This window comes from Homo sapiens, chromosome 13, assembly GCF_000001405.40.
Source record: "Homo sapiens chromosome 13, GRCh38.p14 Primary Assembly".
NCBI lineage: Eukaryota > Metazoa > Chordata > Mammalia > Primates > Hominidae > Homo > Homo sapiens.
Genome location: NC_000013.11, coordinates 99,150,033 through 99,166,217, shown reverse-complemented (window position 1 = coordinate 99,166,217; position 16,185 = coordinate 99,150,033). Strand labels below are relative to the sequence as shown.

The window sequence follows — 16,185 nt, the reverse complement described above, 5'->3', positions numbered from 1 at the left end:
TCATATTCTTTAACTTGTTTGTATCTTCCTTGAATGAGTCATTTCCCCAGCAAAGCCTTCAACCATCTCCATGCATAGCCTCCATGGATTAGGCCCCAATGCACACAGAGACCTCACCCTTGCAAGCTAATGGGGAAAGAGACAAAACAGGCCCAGAAGTCCTGCTGTTGGGCAACCACCCAGGTGCAGGGTTATCCCCAGAAGTGAACAACCAAGAAGGTCTGGGGAAGCTAAGAAATTCAGGCTTGATTTAATACCCAAAGCATGCAAGCTAGAAGGGGCAAAGTGAGAGGTCATTCCAGTCAGTAGTTACAGTTGTTACAATGCTCGACGACAGTGTTGCAGTCATGGGTGTTCTGTTTTGAGGAAGTTCTCTCAGTCTTTGCTAAAGGAAAATTAAGTCCCTATTTAGGGCAGGGGTGACAAACTGAAGTCCATGGGCCAATGTCATCCAGGCTGGAGTACAGTGGCGTGATCTCAGCTCACTGCAACCTCTGCCTCCTGGGTTCAAGCGATTCTCCTGCCTCAGCCTCCTGAGTAGCTGGGACTACAAGTACGTGCCACCACACCTGGCTAATTTTTGTATTTTTAGTAGAGATGGGGTTTCACCATGATGGCCAGGCTGGTCTTGCACACCTAACCTTAAGTGATCTGCCTGCCTCGGCCTCCCATGGTTTTATATTTTTTTAATGGATACACTCTTACAAATAGCATTTTTTTATTGTGGTAAACTATACATAACATAAAATTTACCATTTTGACCATTTCAAAGTGTACCGTTTAGTGGCATTAAGTACATTCATAATGTTGTGCAACCATCACCACTATTTCCAGAACTTTTTCATCATCCCAAACTAAGACTCTGTACCCATTAAACAATAATTCCTTCTCTACCTGGCCCTTGCTAACCACTATTCTACTTTCTGTCTCTACAATTTGCCTATTCTAGGAACCTCATATAAGTGGAATTACCCAGTATTTGTTCTTTTGTGTCTGGCTTTTTTCACTTTGCTTAGTCAAACATTTTGCTTAATGTTTTCAAGGTTCATCCATATGGTGGCGTGTGCCAGAATTTCTTTACTTTTTTTTGAGACAGGGTCTCACTCTGTCTCCCAGGCTGGAGTGTGGTGGTGCAATGTGGGCTCACTGCAAACTCCGCCTCCCAGGTTCAAACGATTTTCCCTCCTCAGCCTCCTGAGTAGCTGGGATTACAGGTGTGCACCACCACAGCCCAGTTAATTTTTGTATTTTTAGTAGAGATGGGGTTTCACTCTATTGGTCAGGCTGGTCTCAAACTCCCAACATCAGGTGATCCATCCACCTCAGCCTCCCCAAGTGCTGGGATTACAGGTGTGAGCCACTGCACCTGGCAGAATTTCCTTTCCTTCCTTTTTAAGGCTGAATACTATTCCATAGTATGCCTCTACCGCTTTTTGCTCTTCTCATCCATCTGTTGATGGACACTTAGAGTGTTTGCACCTCCGGCTATTGTAAATAGTGCTGTAACGAACATGGGAGCACAAGAATACGCAGGTAACCATTCTAAATGCTCACAGAAATGCTGACAGAACATTCTTCTCTTGCCTCTTGGCATTCAGAGCCTAAAATATTTACTGTCTACAGAAAACGTTTATTGGCTCTTCATTAAGGGATGGGTTTAGGACAGCTCCAAACAGAAGCCCATTCATGGGCTGGTGAATGGGGAGGAGAGAGGAAAAGCTGTTACTTGGTGGGACCGAATGTTTGGGACCTATGTTGGATTGTTAGGGCTGCCATAACAAAGGACCACAGACTGAGTGGTTTCAACAACAGAAATTTGTTTCCTCACAGTTCTGGAGGCCGAAGTCTGCGATCAGGTACTGGCAGGGCTGGTTTCCTCCGAGGCCTTTCTCCTTGCCTGACCAAGGCTGTCTTCTCCCTGTGTCTTCACAAGCTTTGTCTGTGTGTGTGTCTGTGTCAAAATCTCTTCTTATTAGGACACCAGTCATATTGGATCATGGCTCACCCCAATGTCCTCATTTAACCTTAATTACCTCTTTAATGACCCTGTCTCCAAAAACAGTCACATTCTGAAGTACTGAGGGTTAGAGCATCAACATACGATTTTTTTTTTTTTTTGAGACAGGGTCTCTCTGTGTCGCCCAGGCTGGAGTGCAGTGGCATGATCTTGGCTCACTGCAGCCTCCAACTTTTGGAGTCAAGCAATCCTCCACCTCAGCCTCCCAAGTAGCTGGGACCACAGGCATATGCCACCATGCCTGGCTAATTTATAAAGTTTTTTTGTAGAGATGGGGTCATGCTGCCCAGGCTGTTCTCTCACTCCTAAGCTCAAGTGATCCTCCCGCCTCAGCCTCCCAAAGTGCTGGGATTACAGGCGGGAGCCACCATACCTGACAACATATGAATTTTAAGGAGATACAATTCAGCCATAAGAAGGTCTGTACTCCACATAGGAAATGCCACGCCTTCAACAGCACTTTTTTTTTTTTTTTTTTTTTTGAGACGGAGTCTCCCTCTGTCGCCCAGGCTGGAGTGCAGTGGCGCAATCTCGGCTCACTGCAAGCTCCACCTCCCGGGTTCAGGCCATTCTCCTGCCTCAGCCTCCCGAGTAGCTGGGACTACAGGCACCCACCACCACGCCTGGCTAATTTTTGTATTTTTAGTAGAGACAGGGTTTCGCCATGTTAGCCAGGATGGTCTCGATCTCCTGACCTCATGATCCACCCACCTCAGCCTCCTAAAGTGCTGGGATTACAGGCGTGAGCCACCGCGCCCGGCCACTTTTTTTTTTTTAATTAAAAAATGTTTTTGAGATGGGGTCTCACTCTGTTACCCAGGCTGGAGTATAGTGGTGCAATCATAGCTCACTGCAGCCTCGAACTCCTCCCACCTCAGCCTCCCAAAGTAGTCACCACACCTGGCTCATTTTTAAATTTTTTTGTAGATACAGGGTCTTGCTATGTTGCCCAGGCTGGTCTTGAACTCTTGGCCTCAAGTGATCCTCTCACCTCAGCCTCCTAAGCTACGGGGATTATAGGCATGAGCCACGATGTCTGGCCTCACAACAAGTTTTTGCCTGAATTGGTGGTGATGGTGTTGGAAGTGAGGAAAGATACACAGATGCACACATGCGCTCATAAACATCAGCTCCAAAACGGGGCAGGCCTGAGTCTTCAAGGAAAGAGAATTCACTTTCACAGGGCTGGCTTCGGACAAGCGCTAAAGCCTTCCTAATTGTATTTCTTCCACTGAGCAGTTAATTACAGAATTTCCTAGATTTTTTTCTTATGACAATAAAGTGAAAAAAAATCCAGTATAATTTTAGCAGCAATTAACCTGAATTCACACAGAAGTGCCTTGGCCCTGCTGGGTGCAGGCTGCAGCACGGGTGGCCAGTCCAGGTTTTCTGCTTGGAATTCTGCTCCCACCTCCCTCCGCTCTGCTGCCGAACGTCACCACCACCCTCAGACCTGTCCATGGTTATCTCTTCTCTATTTCAAAGCAGTGACGACCAGAGGACACTTTGAAGGAATATGACCCGATACACTTTGGGGTCAAGAAATGACCCTGTCCCTCACTGGAGGCAGTTTGCACCAAACTCATGTTACATTTTTCTTTCTTCTCTCTGGCTCAGAGGCAGAAAAATGCTAGAGTTCCTGACCTATGACATAAAAACAAGATCAGAAAAAAAAAAAACAAAAAAAACACCAGGTCACAGATCTCCACACTTGCAACTCCCCCTCCCACAATAGAACAAGAGTAGAAATTTTTAGAACAAAAACTTTGTGTGGACTGACCTTGTTTTACTTTAGGACACTGGAACACATTCTAGTCAGATGAAATTGGAAGCAACATAGATAAAAGAGCAAAGTATGGGAACAATAATAAGAAAATCCTTTTGAAATACCATAGAACCAGCAAAATATTTCTAGTGCCTCAAAATTGATTTGGAGAATGTAGAATGATTTGTATAAAGTAGAGGCTCTTGATGTAAAAGAAGAGGCTACTTACTTCCAAGCTAGATCTAAGGACAGTGGATTAGGCATTAAAAATAAAAGAATCAGGCTACCAATATGTAATTTCAAACCCTTAATGCTGTTAGGAGGATAATGCTTTTTCTACGTATGTATGTGTAATGCACTCCTTTCTTTAATATCCTATCTCTATTGTTTCCTATATCTGTTGTTTTTAGTAGCACTTCTCATTGTTTTTGAGTATATTTTCTTTTCTTCTTTTTTTTTTTTTTTTTTTTTGTGACAGGGTCTCACTTGCAGCTCACTGCAGCCTCAACCTCCCAGGATCAATTGATCCTCCTATCTCAGCCTCCTGAGTAGCCAGGATTACAGGCATGTGCTACCATGCTTGGCTAATTTAAAATATTTTTTCGTAGGGACAGGGTCTCACTATGTTGCCCAGGCTGGTCTGGAACTTTTGAGCTCAAGCAATCCTCCTGCCTTGGCCTCCCAAAATGCTGGGATTACAGGTGTCAGCCAATATGCTTGGCCTCATTTTGCTTTTTCAATGGTGTTTTGGTTTGTTTGTTTGTTTGCTAAGAGACAGGGTCTCACTATGTTGTCCAGGCTGGAGTGCAGTGGCTATTCACAGGTGTGATTCCACTACTAATTAGAATGGGAGTTTTGACCTTCTCTGGTTCTAACCTGAGCCAGTTCACTCCTTGATATAGTTTGTCTGTGTCCCCATCCAAATCTCATTTTGAATTGTAGCGCCTGTGATTCCCATGTGTTGTGGTAGGGACCCAGTGGGAGGTAATTGAATCATGGGGGTGGGTTTTTCCCATGCTGTTCTCATGATAGTGAATAAGTCTCACGAGATCTGATGGTTTTATAAAGGGCAGTTCCCCTGCACAAGCTGTCTCGCCTGCCACCATGTAAAACATGATTTTACGCCTCATTCGCCTTCCATCATGATTGTGAGGCCTCCCCAGCCATGTGGAACTGTGAGTCCATTAAACCTCTCTCCTTTATAAATTACCCAGTCTCAGGTGTCTTTATTAGCAGTGTGAGAATGTACTAATACACCCCTCCTTCAACATCCTGGTGGCCCCCTGCTCCTGAAAAGTCACCATATTAATGCTGAACTTGGTGTGTACAGTCCATCAGCACAGCACACTACAGCTCAGAACTCCTGGGACCAAGCAATCCTGCTCCCTCAACCTCCCGAATAGGCACACACCACCACACATGGGTAATGGTGTTTATGGTTGAGCAGAATTTTAAAATGTATTACTTTTCCTCCTTTGTGGTATGAGCTATTTATGTCTTTTTAAAGACACGCTTTCATTCGTTGAGGTCACAAAAATATCTGCCTCTATATTTCCTTCAAAAAGTTGTTTTTTGTTTTGCCCTTTACAGTTAGGTTTTTCATCCAAGGGGGCCCTGTTTTGAGTGTCAGGGAAGGTGAGGATCTAATGGTAATGTTTGTTGCTATGTGGATAAGCACTTGCTCGTCTCCTTCTGAGACAGCTTCTTTACTTGACTTCAGGAACGTCTCCCATCTGACTCCAGGTTTTGCCCCCACCTGACCTGTTGCTACTTCTTGACTTCCATTGATGGCTTTTCTTCTCTTTGCACTGTCTGAGTGATGGAGTGTCCTGGGAGTGCCCTTCCTCTCTTATCTGTCCAGATCCTCTCAACCTTCTCTCTCTAGGTACCCTCGTCCCAGCCCATGGCTGGAAGCCACAGCTGTATGCTGAGCACACCATGTTCATGTCTTTCCCCTTCTTTCCCCTATCCCTTTGGGTCTCCTCATGGCTCACTGCTTCCCACCACTCAGTCCTCCGCTCCAGTGTTGCCTTCTTGGCGAGGCCTTCCCTGACCACATCATGTAAAATAGCAGCACCTGTCCCTCTCTACACACTGACTTGCTTTATTCTATAGCAAAGTATCGTAGTCACCTCCTGATCTTATATTAGAAATCGATTCTAAATTATGTGTCCTGCACTAGAGCTCATGCTTCACAGACTTTGAATTGATTCCTGATGAATCTAAATGGCTAAGAACAGTGCCTGGCATATTACAGATGCTCAATAAATGTTTATAACGAAAGAGGCAACGATAACGTTCATTTAATACAGTGCTTTATAGCATATGGAGTTCTTTTACATGTAATCATATTCCTTCTAGCATCAATTTACTCCTCAGAGGCATGAATTTGCCTACATTTGTGAATGTCAGAGCAATGACATCTCCTTTGGAAGCTTTTAGAAATTTCTGCCTCAGAACCTTTGATTTTCTTCCCAGTTCTGTGCATTATTAGATCTGTGGCGGTCACTTGAGGAGATTGAACTATAATGTCTCTATGATGACTTCGAGCCATGCCATCTGTCACTCGATGTTTCACATAAAAGGAATGTAGTTCTGATAACATGACAAGCAATTGAGATTAATACAAAGGACAAAGGTGTTTGCGTGCTAAGCCTCAAGAAATCCAGCGCTATTTAGATCAGTGATTCTCAATTGTTTCTTTTCAGCAAAAATACACGCCCATGGGCCCAGGCTGATTTTCATACCACCATAAACATTTTTTTCCAGAAGCAAAATACTACAAAACATTTTCATTCAACAGCACTGTCAGCAGCTAACTCCTCGAATCACAGCCCACATTTACACATGGGGTCATCTAGCATCAAGGTGCCTCCAGGAGACAGACAACAATATCCAGACCTCTCTCCACCTTGTATTGCCGAGTCAGTAAAATCTGTGAAGCCAAGTCAATTGAAACACACATTTGGAAAGTATGAGAAGCCAGAGAAATCCATTCATTTACTAAATCTACTGAGGGCTTCTGAGCTTAATACATGAAAATTTGGTCAGTTGTGTTCAAATGATTGGTTTATATTCTGACTCATTCTACAGCAAAAATGGAATGAATCTGTGCATCTCTCTCTCTGGGAACACAAAAGACAACTTGAGGGGAATATGAAAATCGATTTCTACTTCTCTGGGAACCCAGTGGGCTGGTCATGTCATTGAAAGCTTCCGCACTGTGGGTCAGGCTCTGTTGTGTAGAGACAGCTCCTAATCTCAAAGTACACATTCAAGAAAATGTGGGAGAGATTCTGAGCACTTTCCAGGGGGCAGTGAAGCTCAAAGGCGTGTTAACAGAGTTGTAGGAGGCAGAGGTGATGCATCAGTAAAGCAGGGAGCGCTGAACGTCAGAGTCTCTTCTCAGAGACAGGACTAACTGCCCTCGGGGAAATTGCTTGTTAAGGCAGCTTGGCTGATGGACGCTGATGAACAGTGAAATAACAACGGCATCTGGAGGGGCTTGCCTGGGGCCCACAGGAGCATAGCACAGACCATATACAAAATCAACTCCAAGTGGACTAAAGACAAACCGGAGACCTGAAACTGCAAAACTACTAGAAGAAAGCAGGGGAAAAGCTCCATGATACTGGTCTGGGCATTTCTTTGGATATGACTCCAAGGGCACAGGCAACAAAAGCAAAAATAGACAAATGGGATTAGATCAAACTAAAAATCTGCACAGCAAAGGACACAATCAATAGACTGAGACAGCCTACAGCACGGGAGAAAGTATTTGCAAATCATAGATCTGATAAGAATAATATCTCTAAAATATATAAGGAATTAAACAACTCAATAGAAAGAAAACAGACCAGGCATGGTGGCTCACGCCTGCAATCCCAGCACTTTGGGAGGCCAAGGCGGGTGGATCACTTGAGTTCGAGACCAGCCTGGCCAACATGGTGAAACCCTGTCTCTACTAAAAATACAAAAAGTAGCCAGGCATGGTGGTGGGCGCCTGTAATCCCAGCTACTTGGGAGGCAGAGGCAGGAGAATCGCTTGAACCCGAGAGACGGAGGTTGCAGTGAGCCGAGATTGCGCCACTGCACTCCAGCCTGGGCAATAGCGTGAGACTCGTCTCAAAAAGAAAAAAAAAATAGAAAGAAAACAAATCACCCAATTTAAAAGTAGTCAAAGGACCTAAATAGATACTTCTGAAAATAAGACATGTAAGTATCCAAATGGTATATAAGAAAATGCTCAGTATCACTAATCATCAGGGAAATTAAAATTAAAACCACAGCAGGGTATCGTCTCAAACCTGTTAGGATGGTTATTATAAAAAAGACAAAAGATAACAAGTGTTGTTGAGAATGTGGAGAACAGGGAATCCTTGTTTGTGGGAATGTAAATTAGTACAACCATTACGGAAAACAGTATGGAGGTCCCCTCAAAAAAATAAAAAATAGATTCAGCAATCCCACTTCTGGGTATATCTGCAGGACATGAAATCAGTATGTCAAAGAGATATTTGCATTCCCATCTTTATTGCATCACTATTCACAGTAGTTGAGATATGGAATCAAACTAAGTATCCATCAACAGATAAATGAGACTGGGTGCAGTGGCTCACACCTGCAATCCCAGCACTTGGGAAGATGAGGCAGGAGGATGGCTTGAGCCAGAAGATCGAGGCCAGCCTGAGCAATGTAGTGAGACCCCATCTCTACAGAAAAATTCAAAACTTAGCCAGGTGTGGTGGTGCACATTTGTAGTCCCAGCTACTTGGGAGGCTGAGGTGGGAGGATCCTCTTAAGCCCAGGAGGTTGAGCCTGCAATGAGCTGTGATAGTGCCACTGCACTCCAGCCTGGGCAGCAGAGTGAGGCCCTCTCTCTCAAAAACACACACACACACACACACACACACACACACACACAACACAAAGATAACTGATAAAACATGGTATATATACACAATGGAATACTATTCAGCCTTTAAAAAGAAGGAAATTCTGTCATTTATGACAACATGGATGAACCTGGAGGACATTGTGTTAGGTCAGGTCCCTAATTCCTGAGCTACAAATCAGTAGTGATCTGTGTTGCCTGTTAGGAATTGGGCCACACAGTAGGAGGTGAGCCGTGGGCAAGCCAGTGAAGCTTCATCTGTATTTACAGCTGCTCCCCATCACTCTCATTACTTGCCTAAGCCCCGCCTCCTGTCAGATCAGCGGCAGCATTCGATTCTCACAGGAGCACAAACCCTACTGGGAACTGCGCACACAAGTGATCTAGGTTGTGCACTCTTTATGAGAATCCAGTGCCTGATCATCTCTCACTGTCTTCCAACACCCCAAGATGGGACCATCTAGTTGCATGAAAAAAAGCTCAGGGCTCCCACTGATTCTACATTATGGTGAGTTGTATAATTATTTCATTGTATATTATGATATAGTAATAATAGAAATAAAGTGCACAATAAATGTAAAGTGCTCGAATCATTCCCAAACCACCCTGCCTGCCCCGTCTGTGGAAGAATTATCTTCCACAAAACCAGTCCCTGGTGCCAAAAAGGTTGGGGACCACTGTGTTCAGTGAAATAAGCCAGGCACAGAAAAACACATGCCACATAATCTCACTTACATGGAATCTAAAGAAGTCACAACTTACAGAAACAGAGAATAAAACTGTGATTACCAGAGGCTGGGCTTGGGGATATTGGGGAAATGTTGGCCAAACGACACATACTATCAGCTAAACAGGAGGAATAAGTTCAATACATCTCTTTTTTATTTTTCAGAGACAGGGTCTTGCTCTGTCATCCAGACTGGAGTGCAGTGGCACAAACTTGGCTCACTGCAGACTTGAACTCCTGAGTTCAAGCAATCTTCTTGCCTCAGCTAGGACTATAGGCATGTGCCACTATGCCTGGCTAATTTTTTTTTTTTTTTTTTTTTTTGTGGAGACGACTTCTGGCTATGTTGCCCTGACTGGTCTTGAACTCCTGGCCTCAATCAATCCTCCTGCCTAGGCCTCCCAAAGTGCAAGGATTACAAGCATAAGCCACCACGCCTGGCCTTGAGATCTATTATACATTGTGATGACCACAGTTGAGAATAATATATTGTTTACCAAAACTGGCTAAGAGAATGGATTTGAAATGTTCTCATTATAAAAAAAGATAAGTGTATGAAGTAAAGCATATTTTATTTAAATAGCTTGATTTAGCCATTCCACAATATATACATATATCAAAACACCATGTTATGCATCATAAATATATATGATGTTTTACTTGCTAATTTTTAAAAAAGAGTAGCCCCAGTGTTAGATATCCAAGAGCAGCAGTCGTGTCCTGTGCTCTACAGACCCAGGGTTCAGACACAGGACAGGCGTCACTTATTGAGTCATTGGCAATTTCATCAGAATCTAAGAGGTATGGTGTGTGTCAGTCAGGAGAGGCTTACTACTGTAACATATAATACCCAAATCTCATTGGCTTGTCCAAAAGAGCCACAGTCCAATATGGACTGGTGGGTGGGGACGGAGGACTCTGCTTCTGAGAAGCACTTGACGCCCGGCTGTGGTGGGGCATGGTGAGCAGGCAGCCTCCACCCAGCAGCTTTGTTAGGGCCTGCCTCAAACACAGGGGGTCACCCCACCTGGGGTCATGCCCTTCTTGGAGCAGCTCACATCTGGTGAGTGAGATGTGGGTATAAAGACCCAGTCATTGCAGGCCAAGGCAATACACCTCCAATGGGCAATATTCACTCCAAAGCTCCTCACTGGGTTGGCCAAGACTTTGTTGGGTCTGCATTGCATTTCAACGTCTTCACCTCTACCTATTCTTTTTTTTTTTTTCTGAGACAGAGTCTCGCTCTGTCACCCAGGCTGGAGTGCTGTGATGCGAGCTCGACTCACTGTGACCTCTGCCTCCTGGGTTCAAGCGATTCTCCTGCCTCAGCCTCCTGAGTAGCTGGAACTACAGGCGCCCGCCACCACACCCGGCTAATTTTTTGTATTTTTAGTAGAGACAGGGTTTCACCGTGTTAGCCAGGATGGCCTCGATCCCCTGACCTCATGATCCACCTGCCTCAGCTTCCCAAAGTGCTGGGATTACAGGTGTGAGCCACCATGTCCGGCCCACCTCTACCTATTGTTTTTTTTTTTTTTTCTTTTTTCTTTTTTCTGAGACGGAGTCTTGCTCAGTCGCCCAGGCTGGAGTGCACTGGCACGATCTTGGCTCACTGCAAGCTCCACCTCCCAGGTTCACAGCCATTCTCCTGCCTCAGCCTCTGGAGTAGCTGGGACTGCAGGGGTCTGCCACCACGCCCGGCTAATTTTTTGTATTTTCGGTAGAGATGGGGTTTCACCGTGTTAGCCAGGATGGCCTCGATCTCTTGACCTTATGATCTGCCCGTCTCGGCCTCCCAAAGTGCTGGGATTACAGGCGTGAGCCACCACGCCCGGCCTGTACCTATTCTTAATTTCTCCCACTGTCCTTTATTATTTTTTAGAAGCAGAGTCTCACTCTGTAACCTAGCTGGAATGCAGTGGTGCAATCAGCTCACTGCAACCTCGAACTCCTGGCTTCAAGCAACCCTCTCGCCTCAGCCTCTTGAATAGCTAAGACTATGGGTTTTTTTTTGCTGTTTGTTTGTTTGTTTTTTGTAGAGAAAGGGTCTCGCACTATTGCCCATGCTGGTCACAAACTCCCGGGCTCAAGTGATCCTCCCGCTTTGGCTTCTCAAAGTGCCAAGGAACCACTTTTCTTTAAGGATGTTGACCCCTGATATCTTTTCTTTTTCTTTTTTTTTTTTTTTGAGACAGGGTCTCACTCTGTCACCCAGGCTAGAGTGCAGTGGTGTGATCTCGGCTCACTGCAACCTCCGCCCCCAGAGTTCAAGCAATTCTTTTGCCTAAGCCACCACAGTAGCTGGGATTACACGTGTGCACCACCACACCGAGCTAATTTTTGTATTTTTAGTAAAGCCTGCTGGCCAGGCTGGTCTTGAACTCCTGATCTCAAGTGATCTGCCCACCTCAGCCTCCCAAATTGCTGGTATTACAGGTGTGAGCCACCACTCCTGGCCCCTGATAAGTATCTTACACTCCAAATTCCATCGCAGCGTCTGCTTTCAGAGCACCTACCCTATGATGACTTTGCAAAACCCTAAGCCTAGAGTATTTGGCTAAAGAGGATGTGGCCCCTTCCTGAAACTGACTTCAAGAGTAACTGAGATATCTGCAATGGCCCTGTCCTTACCCTCTGGTATCAGTGGCCTCAGCTTCAATTAGATTCCTTTTGGCATTTTGTTGTTGTTGTTGTTGTTGTTGTGTTGTTTTGTTTTTGAGATCAAGTCTCACTCTGTCACCCAGGCTGGAGTGCAGTGGCGTGACCTCGGCTCACTGCAACCTCTGCCTCCTGGGTTCAAGCGATTCTCTTGCCTCAGCCTCCTGAGTACCTGGGACTACAAGCGTGTGCGACCACACCCTGCTAATTTTTGTATTTTTAGTAGAGACAGGGTTACACTGTGTTGGCCAGCCTGGTCTCGAACTGCTGACCTCAGGTGATCCACTTGTCTTGGCCTCCCAAAGTGCTGGGATTACAGGCATGAGCCACCACACCCAGCCCAATTAGATTGCTTTTGATCCCCACATTTCTCCTTTGTTGGGGTGGAACTGCTCATGATTGCAACTGTCCTCTTTAATAGTGAGAATTTTGAGCGGGTCCCTTTTTGCATGGCCCCCCTTTTTCCTGCTATTCAGTGTGGAGTTGCTTTTGAGGAAACTGGATTTTATAAAAAAGAAGTGATGGGTTTAAATGATTATATTCTTCCTACAAAGTTATTTTGAAGCTCATTTCTTCAGAGACCTTCTCCTCCATGGCCTTACCCTCACTTAAGCACAGACAGCCTTCAATCTAAAACTCTTGCCCTAACCTTTCTCTTGAAAAGCAGTTTTCCTTGTTATTCAAGGTCCATCCAACTTTATCATCCTCTACATGAGTTTGCAAATTCTGTGTTCCAGCCAAGTTGATCTCTTTGATCTTTCAACTTAGGCCCTTTTCCAAAACCATGCCTGAACCTATGCCTCATGCTTCCTCTCTGCCTGAGTCTACTCCCCTAGCTTTTCATTCTCATTTCAAATCTCTCCTCTCCAAAGAGACTTTCTAGACTTCGCTGATCTTTTTGCCCCCTGCACACCTGTATTTAGGAGTCATGTGCTACCTTGAACCTTCTGTTACTCTCTTATATAAATGTCCCTTCCCCCCATCTCAACTATATACATACTCTTTGTATCTTCCAGAGTCTTACGCTCAATATATGTTTGTTGATTTTATTTTTCCTGACCCTGATTTCACCCAGAATGGCAGGCAGTTCCATTATCTCTTCCTATATACCAAGCCACCCACAGTCCTGTGGGTTGGCTGGGCTCAGTTGGGAAGTTCTCCCTTGGGGTCTGTCATGCAGTCGCAATGAAATGTCAACTGGGGCTTCAGTCCTCTGAAGACTTGGCGGGGCTGAATACCCATGGGTGCTCACTCTCATGATGTGCATTGAAGTTGGCTATTGGCTGGAAGCTCCGCTGGGTCTGTGCCTCACAGCACTCCCACTCAACCTCACCTTGCAGCTTTCACAGCCTGATATCTGGGCTCACAGAGGGAGCATTCCAAGGGCAAGGGATCCAAGATTCCCAGGCAGAAGCTGCAAGGCATATTGTGACCTGTCCTCAGAAGTCCCAGAGTGTCACTTCCAGCACATTCTCTTGGACAAAGCAAGTCAAGTGTTTCACTTGAAATTTTATAAAGTTTAGGAAGCAAGTAAGAAAGCATGCAGAGTCACTTGAAATAATTTTCATAGAGCTGTTCAGTTGAGATTGGTGTGTATTGCTGTGTGTATATATCTTATCTCTGAAAGTAAAAAAAAATTTTTTTAAGACTGTTATAATAGTTTTTTTCTTGCACATGATTTTTTCCTGATGTTTTAAATTTTAAAAAATTAAACAAAAAATTGTTTGCAGAATATGTCTTTTTGTTTGTTTTCATCTTCTCAGGAGCTATCACTGTGCCTGAGCTGGGTCTCAGGGAAGATTTGGGATAGGGGAGCTGATGTCAAGCAGCCCCTTGCATCCCTGCCTCTTTATGGAGCCTGATTCCCCTCCCTGTAGCCAGTTCACATGTTCCTTCATCAACAAAGGCTTCAAGAATGGCCACTGGTGTGTTCCACATATGGCTTTAACTGGCAAGGGTATCTGGATGGACAAAGTAGTCATGGGCCCTCTCCTTGGGGCCCTTGAGTCTGGCGAGGCCCTGTGCACTTCCCACTTTGCTGGCTAGAATTCCCCACCTGGAACTGGCAGTTAGCGGTTCTATATGTCTCCTGGGCCCCTTTAGAGTCCTATACACCTGTTTGGTAAGGTGAGTCAACTCTAGCCAGTCCATTTATGTGGATATTGTGATTTAACAGGTCTTTTTAACTTCTAGTTTAAAAGAAAGCATTTGAACAGTAGCCATCAAGATATAACACTGTCATGCCGGAGAATAATGCCAGTGATGTGACCGTTCAGCCCAGGGAAAGAAAGTCTTAGAAGCCACCAAGACAACGCTGCACCTGCAGGGGACCACTTGCTCTGTCCACCTTGGGTAGGTCTTGCTGCTCTGGTCTCCTCACTCTGCTGAGTCACATGGCTACTCCCATACTTAATCTCACTGCAAATATGGCCATGTGTCAAGAATAAAATAGACATGGCCCGGTGCAGTGACTCATGCCTGTAACCTCAGAACTTTCAGAGGCTGAGGTGGGAGGATTGCTTGAGCCCAGGAGTTTGAGACAAGCTTGGGCAAAGTGGTAAGACTCCAGCTCTACAGAAATAAGCAAATAGATCAATACAATACAATACAATACAATACAATACAATACAATACAATACAATACAATACAATACAATACACATGAGCACAACTAGGTTCCAGGCAATACAATATAGCACAAGGAATTGATCATTGGCCTCAGCAGTTGAGCCAAATGAATAGTTAGCAGCTGATTTTAGACATGTCCCATAGTGCTATGCACTTCACTTACTGTCAAAGGAAGACATGAATAAGATAGGAATTAAAATAGACTTTCAAATATTTCCTTGTAAGTGGCTTTAGTTCCCAGAGGAGATTATTCCATAACATCGTCTTTTCTCTTTCAACAAGAATTTCTTCACATTGGTTGCCAACACCCATTATGCTGCATAGAAGTATTAATCATCCATGTGGAATTTTATATTTTCAAAGCCTCTTAAAAAAATCAACCCTCTCCTCTGCCTTCCCCCACGGTGCTCACAGACCATGGCCCTGAGGGCATGCACAGACGAGTCTGTTTTTGTTTGTTACTGGCTTGCCAGGCCAGGTTGCTAAATGTACTTGATTCATCAAATACTTGTGAGCTCAGGGAAATCTAAACAAATTTATTTAATTCAGGCCCAGACACAGAGGTGGGTCAGTGTGTCCCCATTTATTGCATGGTGTGCTGAAGTCCCCAGAAGAGATCAAAAGCAGACACAGGGTGAGGCCACAACATGGCAGGCATTATGTCAGCGCTCTTGATCTCTAAGTCATTACTTAGGAATATATGCAACATAGTAATGATGGTTTCAGACACTCTCAATGCATAGTCTGACTCAACATCTCACTTTGATGGAAAGAACCTCAGTCGACAATGAATGGACAAGACCCGAACGTGTATGGTGTCATGAAACCAGGCATGTGGAAGCAGGTTTCCAAAACAGGTTGGAGACTGGCTCTTCCTAAAGTCTTGCCCATCTGTCAGTTGTATCATTGTCCACATGGTTACTCAGCCCTGAAGCCTCAGAGTCAATCTCTCTTTCTCCCACCTCATCTGCCCCCCTCTCCGTACCGCCATATTTAATACATCAGCTAAGCTTGTTGGTTCCAGGAACACAATACCTATATTCTCAAACCTACCATTTCTCTCTGTACACACCAGCCTCACTCCAGCCCAAGCCAACTCACTCTCCCACCTAAAGAACTGCAATGATCTCCTGGCTTACTAATACATTTAACCAAAGAAGAAAAAAAGAATTAAAAATGTCTACCAGACAAAAAAGACAATAGCAAAATCAACAACAATTATTAAACAGGAAAAATGTCACAACAGACATGCTCAAGGTTAGACTCCTTAGTATAAAAAAAGCTAATAAAGATGATTAGAAAAATTAATATTCAAAGAGAAAATGGGCCAATTTTGAATAGTTCATAATAAAGTATAAAGCATTTCATTGTTTTCTGTTTATTTGTTTGCTTTTTGAGACTGAGTCTCGCTCTGTCACCCAGGCTGGAGTGCAGTGGTGCAAGCTCAGCTCACTGCAACCTCCACCTCCTGGGTTCAAGCAATTCTCCTGCCTCAG

The 16,185-nt window shown here is 44.5% G+C and overlaps 5 annotated features.

Moving 5' to 3' along the window:
• Positions 6,075 to 7,274: an enhancer, noted in NCBI's record as "CDK7 strongly-dependent group 2 enhancer chr13:99811198-99812397 (GRCh37/hg19 assembly coordinates)". NCBI's record gives its function as "activates an origin of replication core promoter dependent on BRD2, BRD4, P300/CBP, MED14 and CDK7 cofactors, with strong dependence on CDK7, by STARR-seq in HCT116 cells {active_cell/tissue: HCT116}" and the evidence as "EXISTENCE:reporter gene assay evidence [ECO:0000049][PMID:35650434]".
• Positions 14,012 to 14,181: an enhancer, noted in NCBI's record as "experimental_33558 CRE fragment used in MPRA reporter constructs". NCBI's record gives its function as "activates a minimal promoter by MPRAs in K562 erythroleukemia cells, with activity observed for both the introgressed and non-introgressed 13:99804376 or rs61968301 variant alleles {active_cell/tissue: K562}" and the evidence as "EXISTENCE:reporter gene assay evidence [ECO:0000049][PMID:34662402]".
• Position 14,096: a transcriptional cis regulatory region, noted in NCBI's record as "Neanderthal adaptively introgressed variant 13:99804376 (GRCh37/hg19 assembly coordinates) or rs61968301 in the experimental_33558 CRE". NCBI's record gives its function as "modulates activity of the experimental_33558 enhancer by MPRAs in K562 erythroleukemia cells {active_cell/tissue: K562}" and the evidence as "EXISTENCE:reporter gene assay evidence [ECO:0000049][PMID:34662402]".
• Positions 14,488 to 14,557: a silencer, noted in NCBI's record as "silent region_5467". NCBI's record gives its function as "represses an Ori minimal core promoter by ATAC-STARR-seq in GM12878 lymphoblastoid cells {active_cell/tissue: GM12878}" and the evidence as "EXISTENCE:reporter gene assay evidence [ECO:0000049][PMID:35858748]".
• Positions 14,568 to 14,617: a silencer, noted in NCBI's record as "silent region_5466". NCBI's record gives its function as "represses an Ori minimal core promoter by ATAC-STARR-seq in GM12878 lymphoblastoid cells {active_cell/tissue: GM12878}" and the evidence as "EXISTENCE:reporter gene assay evidence [ECO:0000049][PMID:35858748]".